Here is a 24,559-nt window from a genome sequence, read left to right on the forward strand (position 1 = left end):
AGAAGTTCAAGGCTACATTGAACTAGCATAACACCACACACTGCAGCCCGGGCAACAGAGCAAAACCCTATCAAAAAAAAAAAAAAAAAAGAAATAAAAAGAAAAAGGGCTGGGCATGGTGGCTCACGCCTGTACTCCCAGCATTTTGGGAGGCCGAGGTGGGCGGACCACCTGAGGTCAGGAGTTTGAGATCAGCCTGGCCAACATGGTGAAAGCCCGTCTCTACTAAAAATACAAAAATTAGCTGGGTGCGATGGTGTGTGCCTGTAGTCCCAGCTGCTCAAGAGGCTGAGGCAGGAGAACTGCTTGAACCCGGGAGGCAGAGGTTGCAGTGAGCCAAGATCGCGCCACTGCACTCCAGGCTGGGCAACAGAGCGAGACTGTGTCTCAAAAATAAAAATAAAAAAAGAAACAAACAAGCAAAAATAAACAGAGGCAAAGAATATGACAGGTAAATCACAGAGGTAAAAATCCAAATGGTTCACATAATAATACAAAGCTCAAAATCAGGGTAAAGCAAACCAAATCCAATGAGCTATAAGTTTATACTCATCAGATTGGTAAAAATGGGCAAGTTGGATAATGCCAAGTCTAAGATGTCAGAACACATGACTTTTCACGTCCAGCTCTTAGGATTGTAGAAGTGAAGCCAATCTAAAGAATAAGCTCACAAAAATTGAGCATCCATGTACATTAGAATCAGTAGTTCCCTTTCAGAATATCCCAAAGAATCCCCACTTGGGTCCTTGGGTCCAGAAGAGGGAATCTAAGAGGATTTCATGCAGCCAAGACCTGTGATTGCTGGGCCACAGAGGCAACCAGGGGGTCCTTAGCTGCAGAAATGGGAAAGTAAATTAAAGAGGTGCCCTTTATGGAATACCATGCGGCAGTTAGAAGCAATTATCTGGAATCACTGATTAGCAGAGTGTGAAGTTTTTTAAAAATGCAGTACTGGGTAAAAAAATAAGAAAAGGCAAAGCAATCAGGGTTGCTTGGAGAATTAAATGGCAATAAAACCCTTGATGTAGCAATTGGCTCAAATAAGACTTTAGATCCTATCCAGAGGTAGGTGGGGAATTCGAGGGGTCAGTCCACCCTGACAAAGGACTCAAGACCATAGAGGTGGAAGTGAAATTTGAAACGATTCGAAAGACACTTTGTGGACTACCTGCTAATAAATTTTCTTTCCTGCATCCTTTCTTTCTTACTTGGTAGTGGAATCTAGACTTTTACAAGAAAGAAAACTCAGAACATGAAACACTGCATCTCTGGCTGACAGTCTACCTGTCCTGGTGTTCCCTAGGAGATCTGAGAATTGCCCCAGCCAGGTGCTGCATTTGCTAAAGTTAATTCTAGGGAATTTGTTTATGTGGGTTCAGAATTCTTCACTGCCTCCCTTAACTCCCCCATATGTAGTCTGTGCTAAGTGACCATGGATGGAATTGTGCTGAAAGTTCTTTCACCGTGGTTAACAAAATCTACTAAGTAACACTTCATACAGGGTATGGAGGAACCAAATGTGATTGGATAGAATATTTTTTCCCTTTCTTCTTCTTACCATATATATACTTTTAGGAGTACCCATTATTGCTAGTGTCTGCTACCAAAATGTCGGTGACCAAAATGTAGAAATGAAGAAGGAAAAAGGACAGCTTGTCTAACATTCTTGCTCTGAAAATCCCAAGAGATGAGATTCCATCTCTAAGCAGGAGGCCAGGGAGTCCTTTCTTAGTGCAGGAGGCAGCAGGATATTTTTATTTTTACTGCATTCGCGATCCGGGGTCACAGAGAAGGGCAAGGAGCTGAATTCCAAGAATGGAATAGAATCTAGCTCTCTCCGAAGGAAATCCAGGGTTTGGAAAACTCCCAAGGAGCAATAATTCAACTGAACTAACCTGATGAACTGTTTTCAAATGAGTATGGAGAAATATAGTCAAACATTGAACAGCTTCCTAGAATTGAAGCAACCGGGCAAAGGTGCCTTTTATTAGACCTTTGCAGTACACCCAGAGAACCGGTTAGAGTGTCAGGCTCAGCTCCATCTGGAAGAGAGAAAGACTTGATTTTATTCCCCAGTAGAAGGTTCTCTAGAGCAGTGCATACGTTTTTCACTTCCTTATAATTATTTATTCAAAACTGAAATACCAGCAAATCAAAGTCTACTCAATGCATTGGGTACCTACTCTCTGCCCATCATCTGCTGGGGCTTTTCTCTATCTTATCTCATAGAATCCTCCCCAAATGCTTCAAGGAAAAGATGATCATTCCCCATTTTTCAGAAAAGGAAGTCTCTGAGAGGACAGACACATTTTGAAGGTCAGAGAGCTTTTAAAAAGCAGATCTGGATTCAAACCCAGACAGCTGAGTCCAAATCTGGAACTTTCTTCAGCTCATACTGCCATGACCACACCCCCGCTTCTAAGGGATGTCAGGCAGCCTAGAGGGTCCCATGACATTTAGAAATAAAGGGATAAATTGTCCTTTCCTCACCCATTTTCAAGCAAAAATGCTAGGGGAGCAGCTGTGTATTAAAAAGGAGTTGGGGCAGAAATAATGATCATAAAGATAGTGAACTTTCATTGAGTTATGGGTCAAACATTGTGTTAAATGTTCAGTATGAGCCACATTCCTATGAGCTGGCTCTATTACTGTTTCTATTCTTTTTTTTTTGTGGGGGGGAAATTAAGTTTCAAAGGTTAATTGATTATTTAAACTCAAACAACTAGTACTTCTTGGAATAGATCCTAAATTGGTCTGACTCTCAAACCAGTGTTTTAAAAATACTACTCTAAACTGCTTCCTTGGGATATGGCAATGTGAGTTCGGCGTGGCAGCTATCGTGGTGGTGTCATGGTGGTGGGAACAGCAGTGATGGTATTGTTTTCACTGCTCTTGGTGGTGGTGAAATTAATGATGATAAGTAACTGGTGAAGGTGGTTGTCCTCATAGTGGTGTGATGGTGTTGGTGGTGGTAGAAGTGGTGCTGGTGATGGTGGTGTGGGTGGTGATAATAGTGATAATGGTGGTAGTAATTGTTGTAGCAGTGATGGCAGTGTTGGTAATGGTAATGATAACTATGGTGGTGGTGGTGGTGTGGCAGCAGGGCCAGAAGTAGTGATGGTGGTGGTGGTGATGGTGGTGATGAGGGACATGGTGTTGGTGGGAGGTGTGAGGAGGGCATGGTGATGATGGTGCTGGTGGTGGTAATGGTGGAGGTGGGGGTGGGGTGATGACGGTGGAGGAGGTGATGGTGGGGAGGGGGTGGTGACGGTGATAGCAGTGGTGATGATGATGGTGATGGTAGTGGTGGTGGTGATTGTGGTGGTGATGGTGGGGAGGGGGTGGTGATGGTGATAGCAGTGGTGATGGTGACGGTGATAGTGGTGGTGGTGATTGTGGTGGCGATGGTGGGGAGGGGGTGGTGATGGTGACAGCAGTGGTGATGATGATGGTGATGGTGGTGGTGGTGGTGGTGGTGGTGGTGGTGATGGTGATGGTGGGAGAGGGATGATGATGATCATGATGGTGATGGTGCTGGTGGTAATGGTGGTGGTGGTGGTGGTGGTGGTGGACGCCATGGTAGGAGAGAGGGTGGCAACTGTTGAGGTAGTGGTGTGGTGGTGGTGGTGGTGGTGGTGAGGCTGGTGGTGGGGTGGTGGTGGAAATAGAAGCGTTGTTGCTGGTGGTGATGATGGTAATGGTTATGGTAGTGGTAGTGGTGGAGGTGGTGGTGATGGTGAGGATAGGGGTGGGGTGATGGTTACCATGACAGAAGTGATAAGAGTGATGAGGTGGTGATGATATTGATTATGGAGGTGGTAGCTATGGGATTCTTGACGGTGGTTAATTCACCCTCCCAGATGATATTTTCTTTTGAGAAATTCTGAAAAAAGAACACTTCCGTTTTCTCTGTGCCTTTAAAGGTCGATTCACTTGTTTTTTTCCATAGGTTTCAGGAAAGAGGCACTGGCCTTTACTTCTCCACCTCGATTCACTTCCATGCTGTTGACAAATGTTATAGTTGCCCAGGATCAGAGGGAGAGACTGACCCTGTGACCATTTCCCCAAAGGCGGCCTTTGGCCACTCCGTGCACTGGAGCACATGACCCTCTGCCTCGCCCCTGCCACATTAACCAGGTGACTGTCTGCCAAGGCCCAGCCCAGTCCAAAGGGAATTGGGATTCAGTGTCCCAAACAAGGCACTGATTAGCTGGTAATCAGGCAGCGATTAGCAGGTCGGGTCACCTGCAGTTCAGTGCCCATTGTTCCCAGCAAAGTCCTGGGATATTTGCCACACGGCTGGCCAGTCTGAATGTCTGAGGATTCCGATGCCTGCAGCTCTGCTGTGGAGATGTGTGATTAGGAACAAATCCTCTGTTCTCTAAGCCCATCCCCCCAAGGAGGCAGTGCAGTGTGAATAGTGAATCCCCTTCTCTATTCACACACAAAGGTTTGGGGAGAAGAATGGCCTGCTTAGGAGCTCAACAGTGACAGAGAGGTGAGGCCCCAAGGATGCACTGAAGAACTGAAAGCAAATTAGCACATTCCTCTTCCTGCACCATGATGACTGAGAGTGGAGGAACGGGCAAGCCCACATCCAGACTGGGATTCTACTGTGATCTTGAGATGTGACCTTGGACAAGATTTTTAACCTCTGAGCTTGTTTACCTTGATTTTGAGAGTTTAATAACACTTGCCTCTTCAGCCTTTGAAGTTCAGATTTAGAAAATGAACATAAAGCAGTTACTACAGTCTCTGTAGCGTGTGACCAATACATGCTATCACCGTTATCATCGGTCATAGTAATATCAATATTTAAAATATCATAATTATTTGAAATACTTTATTTAAAATATGCCTCTGTAACATCACTTCTAAATGAGAGATAGCCCCTTTGTAGGAGGCCATGATAAGGATGAGATGAGAATTCTTGTAAAGCTTTCATCACAGGGCCTAGCAAGTAATTAGCACTTAATAAATCATAGTAACAATGGTGATCACCATCATTATTGTTTGTACAAAGTTGAATGGAAAAGACTATTTTGTAGCACTTTTCACTGTATTGTAGCATGTGATCATGAAAATTTAGACAAAGCATAATTTTTCGAGCTAAAAGGAGATTAATGAAATTATTCATGGCACATTCACACCATTGGACACTGTTCAGCTTTATAGTCTATGTGCCCTTCCACCACCTGGAGATCTTGCTAAAATTCTCATTTGGTAAATCTGGGGTCAGCCCAAGATTACGCATTTCCAGTGGATTCTCAAGTGATTCCAGGGCTACCTGTCCATGGACTCCACTTTGAGTAAACAGGATGTACACTTTTACAATAAAAAATGTGTATATGCATTTATACAGAAATATAGAAAAATATTCCTAGGCTATACTCAAGATGGGGGACAGTGTTTTTCACCCCCTTCGCTAAACTGTACTATCTTTCCCAGAAATTTAATAACAAACATGTAAAAACATTTAAAAATGCAATAAATTTTATTGATGCAAGTTCTTCCCTTCTCTAAAAGTTTGTCACACAGCCAGGTTTTCCAGCACATTCTTTGCCAGGTCTGCATGCCTGATGCCATGATTTTCTTCTAGAGCCACACTAGGCCTTTTCAGCATCCTAACCACAAGGAAATCACATTAATGCGTGCTCATTCTGGAGGCTTCAACTCTCCAAGGAGCAGGTGGGCCCCAGCTCAGATATAGCTGCTGGCCAGAGTTCAGGACCCAGAGGCGTGCAGGCCAGCCAGGTGCAAGATAGACAGTTATTAACTCAGAGAAGCCCAGAGAGTTTCTAAAATCTGATTCTGGCTGCACTTGGAAAGGGCGTTCCAGTTAACATGGCGGGGTGCTTTCTGCAGTTTAAAGGAGCTCAAGGAAGTTCCTTGTACAAAAGAGATGGCTCCACTAGCCCTTCCTCCAAAGGGTGGCCTCAGAGAGGACCCTTGTGATCTAAGGGTAGGTGGGTTTAAGGTTTTTCTTCCTTTTAACTCCTCTAAACGGAGACTGGGATACTTACTTGGGTACTTGAGCCACGTATTTATCTTATTCTCATCAGACTGTTTCTGTCACTGAGAGGTTGAAAGAGGTCTGAATGAGCATCCAGAGACAGAATTAGATAGATAGAACCTCAGTTGAATTTTGACCTTGCCATTTAATAGCTAAACTGCCTTAGGTCTAAGCAGTGACTCTGTTTCCTCCTATGGAAAATGGAAGTAGCAATGCTCTGGTCTCTCCAGGATTCAAACTTATGGAGCTAAAGATTCTAGTTTCCAGTTAGGTAAAAGCAGGCTTGCAAATGCCAATACTAATAATTATTATTTTTATTCAGTGTTCACCATCCTTTGCACCTTAACATACACCTTGTACCTGCCTAGATAAGCCCCCACGCGCTGCCCACCTGAGATCCCTGGTATGGGGTCTCCATCACCCCATCCCTCTGTGTATCAGGCAGTGGGTAGAGGAAAACAGATACATACAAAAACTGGGCAGTGGGAGGAGAGTTTACTAAAGGGATATTTAACTGAGGTGAGGGCGGGACTTGAGGAATAAATAACATACAGTGGCATGGATAGGGGTTGAGGAGGTACATTCCCCCCCAAGCTTCTGGCTTTCAGTAGAGAGAACAGCCAACTTGTCAAGAAGGGGGATGCCAAGGAATAAATAGCCTGACTCCTGTCTTCCCACACTCCTGTGACCTCCTCATGCTTTTGCCAAGATCTTGGCTTGGTTTCTCCTCTGATTGATTTCAACCAACTTTCTGATATTGGCAGGCGGCTATCTTATGTGCCCATGTTACATGCTCATGATAAAGCTGCATTTCCTGAGGGGACACCAATGGATACACCTCTGCCTGGCACGCAGCTTAGAGGCTAAATGTATGAAAAGCAACACCATGCAAATCATTTTGAAACTGCTGTGGAACTCTCACGGGACCCTCCATTCTAGACATCCAGTCCCACTAGTGATCTGACCATGAAACCTACTAAGAGACTTCCAGAAGAAGATGACCTCTGAAAGGAGAAAACTTTCTTCCAAGCTTCTGTGGAACAAGAAGATGCCATCCCTTTGGTGGAGCCCAAAGGGAAACCAGGTAGTTAGCAAGAGAAACTGTTGTTATCATCTATGAAAGGTGCTTCCTGGGGTTTCAGAGGAGGGTGCAGAAGGGGAACAGTGAGTCTGGAGGGACAGATGGAACATTCCTGCAATGCTATCAATCCATATCTGACCCTCAATTCATGAAACTTTCCAGACAACCCACCCTGACAGATCCCTCTCTTCTTAGAGCTCTCACGTACCTTTCTTTTAGCATTTAACATTCATAACCTCAAATGAATGATTTCTATGCATGAGTCATTTCCTGAGTAGACTGTCAGATCCTTGAAGGCAGGAAGGCAATGTAATATAATGGAGAATATCCTATGTCTTCAAATAGTTATGAAGATTAGAAAGGCAATCTAAGCAACATCCTTAGCATATTACTAGGTGCACATAAAAAGTGATGAATAGACAGATTTATGACTATTCATTTTTTTTATCCTTCCTATCCTTCACCATGTGGAAGATACACTGCCATTACACACACCTCCAAAAAGAAAACTCAGCATTTCTTATGTATCTTCTCTGGGTGATTTACTATGTAGAAGTTCAAGTATGTTATTAGAATGCTTCCCCAATTTAGTTACACACAGATTCCACTTAAAGTACAGAATAAAATCTGACATATTCTTTTTAGTATGATGTTTTAAAAAAATATTTGGAAAGCAAAATTCTGTTTTACCTCCCAATGCTTATTGCTGTTACGAAACTATAAAACAAAATAAATTAATAAATTGAATGCAAACAAAGCTATATAAATTTTACTTAAATGCAACAGATGATATAGTTTTGATGAAACTGATTCAAAACTTACTACGCAAAAGCGGTATTGAATGCTGCTGTACAGGACATTTCCATTCACCAAGCCTACACGTGGTATGATGACTCAAGTGTCCCATGATTGCTCCCCATTTATACTGGGCATCATGATGTTACTTGGCATTGATTTGACAACAGTGCATAATTTTAAATTTATTTCCCTTTTATTCCTTTTTCGCTAGTAGAGCCAAACAAATTAGTATAAGATCTTGCAAACTTTCTTTGCAACCATCGGCATTAAAATGCAATGGCAGTTCTTTAAATATAAAGGGTCATACGGATAGTGCAGAAAATGCTTCGCCAATTTTACTTTAGATTGTCGTTGCAATGAGAGCACATGGTTCAAAAGTTCCAGCAGCAAAGGTGGTTTTCCCACCCTGCCCCTGGATTATGGCATGTGGTACAGGCATTTTGAATCTCAGCTTGTGTCAGGTGGGTATTGTTACCTGTTTTCTATTGGAGGACATTTAGGATTGTGAGTGCTTGGAGGTGTTCAGTCACTTACCTAAGTTCACTCACCTAGTAAGTGAGGCAGTGAGACTCATACCCAAAAGTTTCAGTTTCTACATCCAGTCTTTTGACTGATTGGTCTCATCTTTGATTATTATTGAAGATTAACTCTACATTGATGCAGATTGATGATGAGAGTTGAAGGTGATGTTGAAGAGATAGAAACCAAATAGAGAATGAAACATGCTTGGCCAGAGATGGCAACATAAACCCTGTCCATGGTGCCCTGTTGTCTTGGATGCTGCTGTGGTTAGGTCAGAAGCAGTGGGAAGTCTGGAGCCATATGGAAGCTACACAGCCACACAGATGAGGCAGACCTCTAAGTGGGGCCACTCTTGGCACCTCCATGTTGAGCTCAGCAGCAACATGATGAGTTGAAATACTGAAAAGGAAAGCTCTAGGTTGCTCGTCATGATTTAATCTATGCACCTAGTCTTTGGCATTTCCTATTTCCTGCTTTGGCCTGAAGCTGGACATTCTTTCCAAGAATCCTTTATGTCAGTCCTTTTGGGATTCAAAGAGTTGTGGGAATGGTGACCTCAGTTCACATCCACATTCCACCGGGAGAGCACAAAGCTGAGGCTCTCTCTGCCTCCAGGAAGTAAAAGAGGCTGTGAAAGAAGTGTTGTCAACCAATGTTCTTACTACAGAAAGCCAGGGGAGGTGCTGCTCATCCCTCCAGCTCCAAGTGATGAGAATTTTGGAAATAAATAAATTCAGTAACTTATAGGCACATGTGATAAACTCTCACTCACCAGGATCTGATAAACTAGTAGTGAACACAATTTTTGCATAGCTTGCATTTCCTGATAATACAGACGTATCTGCTATTAAAATTCCACTTTCCTTGTAGCAAAGTTAACTTTTTGTTATTCTAGAATGGCAAATTGAGTCATGTGAAGTTTCGGGAATCACACACACATCAGGTAATGCCATAACAAAAGTCGTTTTTGCCTGCAGTATATTTTGAGGACAATGAAACCATTCAATCATTGCCCAGAATGATAATTATCTTTTTGGACACATGACCTCATATTCCCAATCTATTAAGCACACAAAATCTGAAAATGAGTGGTATTAGTGATTCTATTGAAATGGATACAAGGGAACTGAAACAAAATAAAGCCAGCTTTAGTTCTGTAATCCCTGAAAAAAATAAGTGCTAAGAGGATGGGTGACTTAGGACACTTACAAAAGAAAAACCAACACGGAAAAATAAAACAGTAGATGCACATGTCTTTTGACTTACTAGATGTCTGAAGTTCATTGCTTCAGGACACATCAGCTTGGGGTAGAGGTGGGGAGGGGAGTTGACTCAGGTGTGGGTAACAATTGTGATGGCCTATGACCAAATTTCACAGTAAAGTGATTGGTACCCCAACCTCTCCTCTGCTCTTTCTGTTTTTTTGTAATCATCCTAGATAGACATTAACATTTTCTGCAGAAGCCAACTGACAGAAAGATTAGCTACATCAGAAACAGCTGCTTCCACTAGTCTCAGCTTCATTCTAGGGGCAACCTCATCCAGAGTCTCAGAACATCATTTTTTAAAGACCCAGGTGCAAGTCACGCCAAGGTGGTGTGTATTAGAAGATGTGTGGCCATCCAGTGTAACTTTCACAAACTTTCTTTACTGGCACAGACCTATTGGTGATCCAGGTGAGAATGCAGGTTACTGGCATCTCTCCAACTTAAGTCAGCACCCTGCCTTTCTCCAACATTCTCTGCAGAGAAACGTGAATCTTAATTCATACCATACTCTTCATATGAATCTTCATGTCCATGTGCTGGTCCCCACATTCCATGGCTCCAAAGGTCATTGTTTTTATCTCTCCTTGAAGGACTACAAGTGGATTCTCAGGCAAATTGAAACCTTGCGCAAGTCCCAGAAGTTCTAAGGTGGGAATGCTGATCAAGTGTCTCTACTGTCCATCTTTTGCCCCTCTTATGCCCCTTACCTCACCCCTCTGGAGACCCAGATTAAAAACGCTTCAGAGCAGGAAACCTGGTTGATGGATTGATCCATCAACCAGCAAGTATCTACTGAGAGCACCTAATTTTTGCTCAGCAAATGCTGACGGGAGCTGATGGTGCAGTGACAGGTAATAGAGGACTCTTTGAAGTCAGGTAGAGGACTTGAAACTGAGGCTCAACTCACCGCGTCTTCATTCAAGAGACAGCAATTGAACACCTACACACAAGCTGCGCAGCATGCTTGGAAATGGGAATAAAAAGGGCAGACTAGATTTCTATTCCCATAGAGTTTACAGTTTATCAGGGTCATAATTCTTTTAAGTACTTAAAATTAATGTGCACTATGATTGGGAAACAGACTGCTTAGGTACCTTATGGTGGTCAAGAAAGTGGGAACATGCAAAGTTGTTTTTAGCTTTTTGAGGCCTGGAAGGATATGACCATGCAGTGACTGGGTAATGTGATTTTGGTAGCAAGATAGATTGAAGAATGGAGAGTGAGTAGTGTCCTCCCAAAATTCATGTCCTCCCAGAACCTCAGAATGTGAGATTATGTGTAAATAGGGTCTTTGCAGATATAATGAAATTAAGATGAAGTCATAATAATTTAGGGTGGGTAATAAATCCATAAATCCAATGACTAGTGTCCTTGTAAAGATACAGACACAGACAGAGGTAAGAAGGGCAGATATCAGAGTGAAATGGCTACAATCCAAGGAATGCCAAGGATTTCTGGCCACCACTAGCTGCTTGGAGATTTTCATGGAACAGATTATTTCCTAGAACTTTTGGATGGAGCACGGCCCTGCCAACACCTTGATTTCAGACTTTCAGCCTCTAGAGCTACAGGAGAATAAAATTCTGTTGTTCTAAACCACCCAATTTGTGATAATTTGTTATAGCAGCCTTGAGAAATGAATGCAAGACACAACTGACCGGGGTGAAGATTCCTGGTTAAAGGATGTATGAGTGCTGCCCTGGAAAATGAGGGCCAAGGTCAGAAAGAATGGTAAGACTCTATTTGTATGGTTGTGTACAAGATAATAGCTGAAGACCGTAACGGAATAAATAGAGTATGTCTTTTCCAGCTTGTTTTATAATAAACAAACCACGTAAAGAGCATGAAGAGACAAAGATTGAACTTCTCAAGACATGTCTCCGTTTATGGAACAGAACAAAAAAGAGTAAGCAAGGGAGAAAGTGAAGGAGTTACTGGCAATATTCCATTGAACTCAGTAGATGCTTATCAAGCCTTGCCTATTCCATACCTCTAAGGAACACACAGTGTGAGCTGGAAGCAAAACTAGAGAATTTCCATCCAAGGGATGTAGGCAATGATTGAAGTAAGCTGAATGAATAGGAACAGTGAAGACAAAAAGAAACAATGGTCCCAGTCTAAGGATGATCAGGATGTCTTTGCAGAGATGACATCTGTAGGGAGGCTGAAAGGATCCTTCAGGGTTGGACAGAAGGCAGAAGGGCAGAAGAGAGAAGAAAGCTCAGAGTATACCATCGTATCTCAATGCTCCTTGAATAGTTGCTATGTTTAATTCTGGTGCCTCTTATAGCACACAAAGGCACATGGAAATGGTGGAGTGAGTGAATAAATGAATGAACTAATGAAATGACCCAGAAGCCAAGAGAAGAGAGCACTTTGTCAAGGAAGAGGGGATAACGAACATTATAAAAGGCAAGAGAGAGGCTGAGAAAGACAAGTATGAATGTCAAGAAATGAATAGGTCAATAGAACATTGAAGAGATAGGAGCTTAGGAGAAGTCAGAGGCAATTCCTAGGAGCTGAGAAGAAAAGAGTGAGCTGTGAGGAAGAAAGTTTGTGCTGATGAAGGCTCAAGGAGTATGGCTGAAAAAAATATTGGAGAGAGGTTAATAGTGTTTGTGAATTAAAGCTGGAACAGAAATTAAATACCACATGTTCTCACTTGTAAGTGGGAGATCAGCATTGAGTACACGTGGACACAAAGAAGGGAACAATGGATACCAGGGCCCACTTGAGGGTGGAGGGCAGGAGAAGGATGAGGATCAAAAAACTAACTATTCAGTACCATGCTCATTACATGGGTGACAAAATAATTTATATGCCAAACCCCTGCATCATGCAATTTACCAATGTAACAAACCTGTGCTTGTATCCTCCAAACCTAAAATAAAAGTTGGAAAGAAAAAAAAGAACGTTAGGAAGACTGTGTCTGAAGGTAAACGATAAGGAAATTTGAGGATGCTGGAGACAGGAGTCATAGAGTTTCTCAGGAGCCAGGGGAGGAAGAATAAATGAAATAACCAACATGTATTGAGCACCTACTGTATGCCAGGCACTAAACTAGCTATTTTCAAATACTTTAAAAAAAAAAATAATCTGGAAGATACGCTTCATGGAAAGTGTTAGTTTTAGAAAGAATAATGGATTTCCCTCTAATGACGGGGGTAGAGGAGACAAATGAATTTTATAATTTGTTGTAATGGGTTGAAAGAGGTATCTTTTCGTTCATCAAGTATCTACTGGGTACGCCCTCTGTGCTGGACACTCTATAAAGGGCCTCAGATATATCACCTAATGGGAACCTTAGAATGCCCCTAGAATGTTCTATCATGATTCTCATCTTGGAGACAAGGATTTCACAGACAAGCTCTAGAAAAACAATTCAAAGCTGAGTATGTCTGCACAAACAACTACATATGTCTCAGCCTCAGTTTCTACATCTGTATAACTTTTCTTCCCATGGTTGTTGTGAGGATGAAGCAAGGAGAAAGTGCTCACTAAAGGGCAGTTCTTGTTTTTAACCTTACTTTATTCCTTTGGAATGAGGCCATTGGGTCCTCACTACACCCTCACCCCTCTACCAACATTGCCCACTGCTTTTCAGAATTGAAGATGTCCTGGAGCCCCAAAACAGGTGTCAGCAGCATTACCACAACAGATCAATCTGTAAGCTAGAGCACAAGATGTCTACTATTTGCTCTGAGAAAAGAAGCCATGTTGGGAAGGCAAGCTAAATACAGAACATGACCCAAAAGCAAAGGGTGTCTCCAAAAGGGGTAATGCAGACCGAGACAATAGTTTCACAGATCAATAGGAAACATTTAAAGGTCCACTGATGAGCTAGACTGCAGGGGCGCTCCTCTTCTATAAAAGGAAAATAAAATGGATCAATAAGAAATGAAAACTGATATTAAAAGGCTGAGATTTACTTTCTGCTACCAAGGGTTCTTCTCCAAGCTGGGTCTCTGGGCAGACTTGTTCATTCCCTTCCAACCCACTACGGTGAGATCCCAAGGTGGTGGAATAAGATAAATACACATGGAAACAGCCCCCAAAAATGGCTGCAGTAAGGCCATACAGCATACCTAACTACTGGTTAGCATAAAGACAAGTAATTTGTCTGAATGCAACATGTTGGGTGTAGGAGGAAAATGTATGCCTTAAACCTCAACCCATCACCCTCCACTCTTCAATCTCTATTTATGTCTGTGTATCAGCAGTGTGGCACATTCTAAGTAGTTTTCTGGTGTATTTTAAGGATGCATCTACCAATTCTGTGATCTTGGGCAAATGATTTAACCTCTCTGAGTCTCAGTTTTCTCATCTATAATTATGTCAGTATTATCATGATAAAATAATAGAAATGATTATTGTCACCTTCCCCATCCCTACCATTATCACCCCATCACCACCCCGAAAACTAATATCAAAATGGCTGAATGCCCACGTGGTTTTATAGGAGGAGATTTAAGAGCCAGAAAGACCAAATTTATTAGCGAGGTTATCTTGAGCAAGCTGTGAATCTACTCTGATCTTCATGCAATTCATCATGGACTTGGACAACATCTTTTCTGGTTATTATGAAGCCTAGAGAAGACACGTACAACCCTTAGCACAGTGTCTGGTACATAATGAGGACTCAGTACTGGCCCTTAGTCTTTGCCCTGACTCTAGTCTGTGATAGTGTTAGACTAACATCTTGGTGAGCCCATACTGACCACTGGGAGTCCAAGTTGACTCTGAGAAAACTAAAAGAAAGGCAAACAAAAGGATCTATTTGTGGGAGGGAGAAGGGATGGAAAGCCACATAGTCTGGTTCGGCATGAGACTGAGAGAGGTCTGGGCAGGTTCAGCACCCCTGGAGAGAGAACATCCCACCACTACTACCTCTCCTCCTTTCTCCTGCCCTAGTGCAGAGCACACAGCTTCGCCCCTCAGCTGACTGGGTGCCTGTGGGCAGTGCAAAGAGATGAAGGGCTTCTCCTTCCAGCACACAGCACTGGCTACTGGGGGGTTTCCGTCTCCCCCACCCAACCACCTCCACCCTCACCTTGCTGCTGGGATTCTGGGCTCCCTGCATTCATGGTGCAGGATAGCAGGGGCCATGGATCAAGATGACTCCCCTCCTACCATAGGTGCTGATTCATTCAGCACTAACAGCGCCAACTGTGTGTCCACATCCTGCTGGATAGCAGGGGCCATGAGGCAAATGAAACACAGTCCTTACCCTGAGGACATCCTACACTGAGCAGTAATCACGGGTATCACAAAATGCCCTGCTCCCCACCACTTCATTTTGACTCAAAGGGAAAACTCTTGAGAATTTACAATTCTATCCCATTTTTTTTCAGTAACTCCTTAATATCTTTTTTCCGCAAAACTCATACCCTCCCAAACCCACCCTGAATCCTGCACACCTCACTCATTTTCCTCACATCCCTGAGTCTTTTCCCTCCACACTCTCCCCTCCTGGTTTCTTGTTCTGCAATATCTTCTTTCCCATGTTATACTTGGATTTTACTCCTTCCTCTTGTCTATGCTGCTCAGTGGCCAGTTTTCCCCAGTGGAGGCTGGGGACATTCTCTTTCTACGTCCCTGTTTATCTCTACTCTGAATAAGTCAATATGCAAACATCTGGGTGTCCAACTCATACCCCCCAGAAGGGATTCTCTTTAGCCTGACAGCCTATTATACTTGTTGTGGGTGGCCTAACGTGTGTCTGGGTGAGGCATATGCAGATTGTAAAAAAGAAAAAAAATTGGCAGGCCAGACCCTTTGTTTCCCTACAATCTGACTAATAAGAGATTCTTTCACTATAATATTTCTTCTGCTATTCTAGTTGTTCTTATCACAATCATTGCCTGATTCCTCTGGGTTCTCTTATATCTCCATTTTGAATTCCCTTGTAGGCACTGTGTCTTCAGTAAGTGTTTCCATTTTGAACCCAAAGAAAACCTGTGTGTCCATTTCTTTCTCCTCCACTTTTCTTTTCTTGACACACTGATTCCTTAGAAGTGGGAAAGGGACTGAAATCTGTGTGTCTATGCCTCTATGTGCTAGATGTTATAAAACACTTCCATGGATATATCTCATGTAGAAGAAATTAGCCTCTTTTTAACACTGAGGGAACTGAGGACAGAAAGCTTCAACCATGTGTTCTAGCTCACACATAAAAACATGAAAAGCCTCCAAGACTTCATGCTATCTGTCCCTTGAAATGTACCCATGTGGCTGACATATGCAAACATATGCAAACCCAGGCAGTGGGCCCATGTGACATTCATTATAGAAAGTGTTTCTTTAATTATCTCTCATTCCTGACTCCCACTGAGGTCCTCATAATGGGTTTAGAATTACTGTCTTCTAAGTGATTCTGTGTGCAAAGTTGTACAATGAAAAGGGCACAAATTTGAGCAAATCTAGGGCAGAGAGAAGACCCAGAATGGCTGAGATCAAATCCCAGTTCTTATTATCTGGATGACCTCGGGCTATGGGGATAATAGGAACACCTTCCTCATAGGGGGTCTTTCCTCCTTATTGCCTCCTACTGAGGACTGAGGGTGAGGATTATTTAGGTAGGTGTGTGTAAACCACTTAAACCCTGGTTTAGCCCATGGTAAAACTATCAAAACGGACACTGTTGATTTTATTATCTGTGGTCTTGTTGGCCTTACCACTTGTTAGATGCAACACCCTTGGATACCTCTCTTGACATCTCTGAACTTCATTTTTCTTGTTGGTAACACAGGGGTAATACTTCCCACATCGAACTTTGCTGTGAACCTCTGATCAGATAAGCCATGTAAAGTCACTAACTCAGGGACTTGGTTGCAGCAAGTGCTTTCTTATTTAAAACATGCCAGTTCCCTTTTCTCCAAGAGAGCTCAAAGCACTGCTATTCACTTAGGATCAATGGAAGAAGCAAGAAGAAGAAAACAAAGGAAAAAGCAAACACTGGGGGCTAGATCAGCTTCCTGGGGGCAGTTCCTACCAAAGGGTGGTCTGTCCTGAGTAATCAGCTGGAGTCCCCCCCACCCCTTTCCCAGGTGGTCCCCAAAACTGGTTGGTGAGTAGTGCTGCAGATGTGGCTTCCTTATGGGCGATAGTGTTGATGGAAAAGATAATTCATGCCTGCATTGAGCTCTCTCTGAGTCACTCCAGACCCCAGTGATGAAGGAAGAAAACACCCCTGATCAGTACCACATTTCCAGATTTCATTATAATTTTTAATTCTTCAATGTTGTTTTGAAAAGCAGCATCAAGCATGCATAAGTTTTTGGAGACAAAGAAAAATGTAACCAGCCACCCTTTGAGTTTGGACTTGAGGACACCCCGGATCCTCTGAGAGATTTGTCTCCTTCCAGAAGCAGTGAGATGCCCTGTTGCTGTGACATGAGACAGTCCTGCCCCCATGCTGTCTGCAGGCTGAGGCTCTCCTTGTTTTATGCAGTTGGGCTCTCTGGACATCATGTGCTTGAGTTCTGCATCTTTTGCCAAATTCTACTCTTTTCACTCTTACAATCACCAAGTTCTGTCCATATTATTACTCAAATGTCTACTTGTCTCTTCATTTATGACTACCACCTTTTGCCAAGCAAGCTCCCCTGAAGGAGACCAGCAACAAAAATCACCAGGCCTCCCAGCAGCCAGATGGAGCTATTCAAAATGTAATGTGAGCTGGGCACAGTGTTGGTGCACACCTGTGGTCCCAGTTACTAGGGAGGTTAAGGCAGGATGATCCCTTGATCTCAGAAGTTCAAGGCCAGCCTGGGCAACATAGCAAGACCCCATCTCTTTAAAAACATTTTTTAAAGTCAAAATGTAATGCAAGACTCACTCCTCCCAGTCAATCACCTTCATTGCCTTCCCATTGCTTCCTGGGCATCAAGTCTCTGCCCATCTTATAAAACCATCTGTGATCTCATCCTCCCTCATTCTAATTCAGCTTTCCAGGCTTCTTTGTTTCCCCACCTATGCAAAGATTTTGTATTCTCATGGTCTCTTCATCTAAAACATTCCTAGAGCCTGGACAACTCCTCCCCAACCCCTTTACAGACTGGTTATTTTAATTCACTCTTATCTTGGCTTACCCGTCTCCTACCCAGAGGCCTTGCTTGAGAAGCCCACCTCAGGATACTGCTTCAATTCAATGAAAGGATTTCAATGAATACCCTTTCATTCACCTCAGGATACTGCCAATTGCTATTCCCATTCTCTCATAGTCACATTATTTCTTTCTGCAATTTGATTATGAATGAATTTGATTACTTACTTCCTTTTAGTCTATCTTCCCCACATGACTGAAAGCTCTATGATGTTTTGTTCGCTTCTGACTACCCACTACAAATAGCACATAGTAGGCACTTAATAAATGTGTGCTGAATGACTGCAGAAATGACTGCTGTGAATTTAATCATTTGGTAGGCAGGCAGTTCTTTTCCTTGTTTGTGTAAGGGTGAGGGTGGCTTTGTGCACCCATGTGTGAGTTTTTGAGAATGGAGGAAAGATATTCTGGAGCTTGGATTGCTCCCTGCTAAAACCCTTCAACGTTTCCCCATTGCCTCTTGGCTCAGCTCAGTTTGCAAAGCCATTCAGGAACTGATTCTGCTTTCTTTCCTCCCCTTTTTCTACCATTTCATTTCCCTACTCCCTCATTTGTGGCCTGTGTATATGTGTATGGATGCCCACTTGGGTTGGCCCCTTCTATTCTGAATTGTCTATCTTGCTGACACTAGGATCATTTCATGTGAACCCCCCATCAGAGAGCCTTGTCTGAGCCTCCATTTCATCTTTTTTGGTGAGCTGGGTGCCTTCCATTTGTGCTCCCTACACTTTCCACCTTAACCCGTAGTCTCCCAAATGGGACAACTCATGGCCTTCTTTTGAGTAATTTGGGAAAAAAAAATATTTATTGTAAAAAAATTATACTTTTGTTCGCTTTACAAGATGCGTAAAATACTGGCATGCCCTTGCACATATATTCATTTTAAAAGGGGGACTATAAATGTATGTAGAGAGCATAGGTTCAAAAATTTATTACAAGAGTTCGTGATCAAAAAGTTTGGAGAGCATGATGACATTATACTTTTCATACTGCATGGCATTTGTCTGGATTTTGTCTGTCTCTTCAAGATCTTTCAAGGCACTCTTGAGAGAAGAAACACCGTACACAGCCGCAGTTCTTTGACAGTGATATGGGGGTGGTTTTAGAAGGTGCACAAAAGGAAGGTCGCTAACGCCTGTTGAGAACTCATTGCCCTTTGAATTCTCTTTTATTCTTCCTCATTTAAATAATAGGGGGGAAAAGTCTCAGCTGTGTGTCAATATGTTTCTAATACCTCTGGGTACCACTTGCTAGTTTCCCTTTATAACAGTGAGAACAGACTTCAGGCTCAAGCCCTTGAAAATGCCTCTTATCTAACCAAAACCCAACAATTCAGCTTCATTTTCATTGCTCCTTTCCATTTGTGGTCAGTAATATTGCTATGATATTTAAAACGATGTATGATTTTTCTCTTGCTAACCATGTAGAGTTTATTAAAATAAATTTATTTATAAAGAGTGAGTAAATTTTTTTAAATAAGCAAATTGTAATATAGGTGAAACTAGATGTTTCAGTCTAATGTCACTTGGGTAACACAAGGGTAACAGAGTCAACATGAGCTTTGAAATACAAAGACCTTGTAAGATTTTTGACTCTGGCCATGGCTAAATGTGTGACTGTTGCAAAGTCCTTCTCTGAATCTACTGTAAAAGGGATAAAAATACTTACTCTGTACAGTGTTTTGAAGATGAGCATTAATGTATTTAAAGATACTTCCCAATGCATGCACTTGATCAATAATGGATATATGTTTATGCAATGAGCAAATGGATGAGTAAGAATGGAATAAATCTGGATAAATAAGTCAAGGAACCTGGATCCTCCTCAAAAGTCCCAACCTTCTTAGCTGGAATGAGTCAGACTCCAGAGAGCCCCATTCTCTCCTTCACTAGAGTCCCATTTTCACAGTCATTTGACATTTACCCAGAGGACCTGAGAAAGTTAACGAGTTTTGCCTAGTCCCTTAATTCTCCTTTGGAGTGATTAGTGTGAACAGAGAATGGAATGCGCATGAGACATGGATTGATTTTGTGGCTCTGCTGGAATTCTGTTGGAACTTCACTCTACATTTGAGTAGTCTCTATGTAGAACTTCTGCTTTGGAAGCTGATGAGCTCCCCATACAAAGAAGTATTCAAGACTAGAAGAGATGAACATGTGACCCAAGTGTTGACTTTCTGCTTCTCTAAGAAACATTATGTTCATCATCCTGAAAACAAAGACATATTTAAGGGCATCTTGAACCAAGTCTTGAAAGCCTATTTCTGGAAGCTGTGTGTAGGCTATGCAGACATGACTTCACAGACCAGTGTGCAGTTGCACCCCTATCTAGCACTTAACAGACACAGCTATTTTACTTTTATTTCAAATTGAAAGCCATGTTTTTAAGAAGTCAAACCACCTAAGATCTTATAGAAGTAAGCAAATGAGTTTTTTCTCTCCACATTGTTTCTCTCTTTTTTTTAAGTAGTCTATCCAGCTTCTTTCAATAACAGCTGGATTCCAAAAGGCAAACGTGAAAACTTTCAGGCTTCCCAAGAAACAGTATCACTTCTGTTGCACTGTGTTGGTCAAAACAATCACAGGAACAGCTTTGATTCAAGAGAAGGAGACTCCTATTCTTGATAGAAGTAGTGGCATGAGTGTACAGGAATGGGAGGAATTGCTGGTGGTTGTTTATGTAGACGATCTAACACACACACACAAACACACATAATCCAGCTCACGAAATGTAGGACTCCCTTTTGCTAAACGCCAGGCTCTGCATTAGCATCCATCATACCTGATTTCTTCAAGGAATGTCTGTGGAGACTCCATAGGATCTCCAAGGATAAGGACCTCACGTCCTTCCATTTTGCTTTCATTTCCATTTCCTTTGGAGACAAATGCAAAAGAAAGTGGTTTCAGATCACAGGTAGTCATATGTTTTTGTGTGACTGAAAGGAAGGCCTTCGTGGTCTGTATGTGTACTTGTGTATGGCACGTGTTCGTGCACCCATGTGTGTGTATCTGGCAGGGAGGTGAAGGTCATTTTAGACTTTATATTCAGATCTTGAGCTATCCTGTGATGTCTGGTTCTCAATTCAGCTTTTCCTGTCACTAACCCTTTGCCCAGACCATCACTCACGCATGACTGACCTGCCTCGTGCACAAGACCATGTATTTGCTTTTCTGCAATTAGTAGATCAAGGTCCACCTGCTTTATGCTCTTCATAAAGATTGTTCTGGCAAAAACAAGTCCAGCATTCTTGACCCTTCTCTATTCTGAAAGATGTAAGAAAATGGATAGGAATTTGCTAGATATAGATCAGGTCATGAGGCAGAGGAGACAGGCTGTGTAAAGTTTCAGATCTGGAAAAGGGAAGGCCGTGTAGCTATTTGTCAGGACTTCTTTTCTGGTTTTACCTCCCAAAGGGAGATTTCTATGGGTTTGTGGGATAAGATGAAATGGGCCTTCTGTTAAAAAACAAAAAAAGAAAAAAAAAAAAAGGTAGTGCTGTACCTAGAGAATAAAATATTGGCCAGGCGCGGTGGCTCACACCTGTAATCTCAGCACTTTGGGAGGCCGAGGAGAGCAAATCACAAGGTCAGGAGTTGAAGACCAGTCTGATCAACATGGTGAAACCCCGTCTCTACTAGAAATACAAAAATTAGCCAGGCGTGGTGGCAGGCACCTGTAATCCCAGCTACTCAGGAAGCTGAGGCAAGAGAATCGCTTGAACCCGGGAGGTGGAAATTGAAGTGAGCTGAGATCATGCCACTGTACTCCAGTCGGGGTGAGAGAGCGAGACTCCATCTCAAAAAATAAAAATAAAAATAAAAAATAAAAAATTGAGGAAGAATTTGAGAATAAGATGACATAAAGTAATTGTTTACATTTGCAGATTTATATTTGGTTTAACTTATCTTTGGCAGAAAATATAAGCACTAAAATGATTGTAACACATTTCAGTGTCCTTAGCAATAATTTCTCCTTATTAACTGCTCAAGTTTTCATCTGTCAGAATGTAGCCAACATCATTTAACCAAAAGGGGGAAAATTTTCTCTGTAAGTCAGTACATGTATTACTCCATTCATCAAATACAGAGACATCACTTGTTAAACACTGCACTTTAGAGAACAGTACATTTGTGATTGCAGAAACCAATATAATCTCCCTCAAATTGCAAGCAGATATTATAAAGTGAAAACCTCCCTTCAAAAATAAACCCTGATCAATGACACAAAAAGGTGGCTCTTTGAAAAGATCAGCAAAATTGGCATATTTTAGCTAGACTAGCCAAGCAAAAAGGGAAGATCCAAATGACTAAAATAATAAATGAAAGTGGGGACATCATTACCAACCTTACAGAAATAAAAAGAATTAAAAGAGAATATTATGAACAGTTGTATACCAACAAATTAGATAACTTGGATATAACAAATTTCTAGAAACATGCAAACTATCAAAACCGACTAAAGAAGAAATACAAAATCGGAATAGGCCTATAACAAGTAAATATATTAAGTCAATAATTAAAACCAACCAACAATCCAACAAACATTTCTAAAAAAGAAAAGCTGAGGATCACGTGGCTTTATGGTAAATTTTACCAAACATTTAAAAAATATAACATCAATTCTTCTCAAACCTTACAAAAAATAGAAAAAGAGGGAACACTTCTGAACTTTTTCTGAGGCCAGTATTACCTTGGTACCAAAGTCAGACAAATAATCACAATAAAAGAAAATTATAGATCAATATCCCCTGTGAACACTAGCACAAAAATTCCCAAAAAAATACTAGCAAACCAACTCCACCAGCCTATTTAAAGAATTATAAATCATTACCAAGTGCAGTTTATCCAAGGAATGCAAGGTTTGTTAAAAATCAATTGATGTAATACCTTATATTTATAGAATAAAGGGAGAGAAAGCCACAGGATCATATCAATAGATGCAGAAAAAGAATCAGACACGATCTGTCACCTTTCATGATGAAAACACACAATAAACTAGGAATTGAAGGGAACTTCCTCAATCTGATAAAGAGCTTCTATTTAAAAAAAAAAACACAACTAATGTCATACTTAACAGTGAAAGACTGGACATTTTATTTATAAGAAACAGTATACGGATGTCTGTTCTCTCCACCTTCTATTCAATATTATACTGGAAGTTCCAGTCAAAGCAGTCAGGTAAGAAAAAGGAATAAGCACCCAGATTGAAATGAGAAGCAAAACTATCTCTATTAGCAGAAGACATGATTTTATGTAGAGAAAATCCTGAAGAATCCATAAAAAATACTATTAGAGCTAATAAACAAGTTTAGGAAAGTTGTAGGATACAAGATTAATATAAAAATCAGCTCTACTTCTGTACACCAGCAATGAACAATACAAAAACAACATTTAAAAAACAATTACATTTAAAATACCATCGAAAAGAATAAAACGCTTGGTAATAAATTTAACCAAGAAAGTACAAGACTTATGCACCGAAAACTACAACACACTTTTGAAAGCAATCAAAGACGACCTAAATAAATAGAAACACATCTCATATTAGTGAACTGGAAAACTAGAAAATATTGTTAAAATGACATTAGTACCCAATTAATCTATAGACTTAGTACAACTGCTATCAAAACTATAACTGCTTTTTTTTTTTTTTTTGCACAAATGGGCTAGTTGATCCTAAAATTCATATGGGAATGCAAGGAACCCTGAATAACCGAAGTCCAGACGAATAACAAAGTTGAAGGACTCACACTTTTAATATTAACATGTAATACAAAGCTACATTAATCAAACTTTGTGGTACTAGCAAAGAGATAGACATATAGATCAACAGAATAGAAATGAGAATACAGAAACAAACCTAAATATCCATGGTCAATTGATTTTCAACAAGGTAACTGAGACCGTTCAATGGGGAAAGAATAGTCTTTTCAACAAATGGTACTGGAACAACTTGATATGCACAGACAAAAGAATAAATTTGAACCCTCTACCTCACACCTTATACAAAGAACCTGAAAATGGATCAAAGACTTAAATATAAGAACGGAAGTCATAGTGTTCTTAGAAGGAGACATAGATATAAATCTTTATGACCTTGGATTATGTTATTGTTTCTTAAATATGACACCAAAAGCACAAACAACAAAAGAAAAAATATATAAATTGTACTTTAACAAAATTAAAAACTTTGTGCATCAAAGGATAGTATCAAGAAAGTAAAAAAGGTAACCCACAGATGGAAGGAAATATATATATTTTCAAACCATACATCTGATAAGGGTCTAGAATCCAGAATCTATGATGGACACTTACAACTCAGCAATAAAATGACAATCTAATTAAAATACATGCAATGGACTTGGATTTGAGCAGGAATTTCTCTAAAGAAAGTATACCGACGGCTAAAATGCACATAAAAAATGATTAACATCATCAATCATCAGGGAAATGCAAATGAAAACTATAATGTCATATCAGTATACAGTCTCTTGGATAGCTATAATTAAAAAGAAAAAAGAAATATAACAAGTATTGGTGAGAATGTGGATAAACTGGAGCCCTCATTCACTGTTGATAGGAATGTAAAATATAGCGGCCACTGTGGAAAATTTTGTCACTTCCTCAAAAACCTAAAGATGGGGTTACCATATGACTAAGCAATACCACATCTAAATATATATCCAAAAGAATAAAAACATATATCCATATAACACTAGTAGACAAATGCCATGGCAGCATTATTCATAATACCAAACAAATGGAAAAAATCCC

The 24,559-nt window shown here is 41.1% G+C and overlaps 2 long non-coding RNA genes across 2 annotated transcripts in view; one reads left to right on the forward strand and one right to left on the reverse strand.

The window, feature by feature from the left end:
- The window catches only part of LOC105371356 (uncharacterized), a 49,125-nt gene extending 43,619 nt beyond the window's left edge, over window positions 1-5,506 (forward strand). Inside the window, exon 5 of the long non-coding RNA XR_001752268.2 lies at window positions 3,950-5,506. This is a non-coding gene — a long non-coding RNA (uncharacterized LOC105371356). The remainder of the gene's footprint in view (window positions 1-3,949) is intronic.
- The window catches only part of MAFTRR (MAF transcriptional regulator RNA), a 49,221-nt gene continuing 26,394 nt past the window's right edge, over window positions 1,733-24,559 (reverse strand). Inside the window, exons 5-6 of the long non-coding RNA NR_104663.1 lie at window positions 20,568-20,658; window positions 1,733-2,042 (exon numbers count right to left, since the gene is read on the reverse strand). This is a non-coding gene — a long non-coding RNA (MAF transcriptional regulator RNA). The remainder of the gene's footprint in view (window positions 2,043-20,567; window positions 20,659-24,559) is intronic.

Source organism: Homo sapiens, chromosome 16 (genome assembly GCF_000001405.40).
Source record: "Homo sapiens chromosome 16, GRCh38.p14 Primary Assembly".
In the NCBI taxonomy this organism is placed as follows: Eukaryota; Metazoa; Chordata; class Mammalia; order Primates; family Hominidae; genus Homo; species Homo sapiens.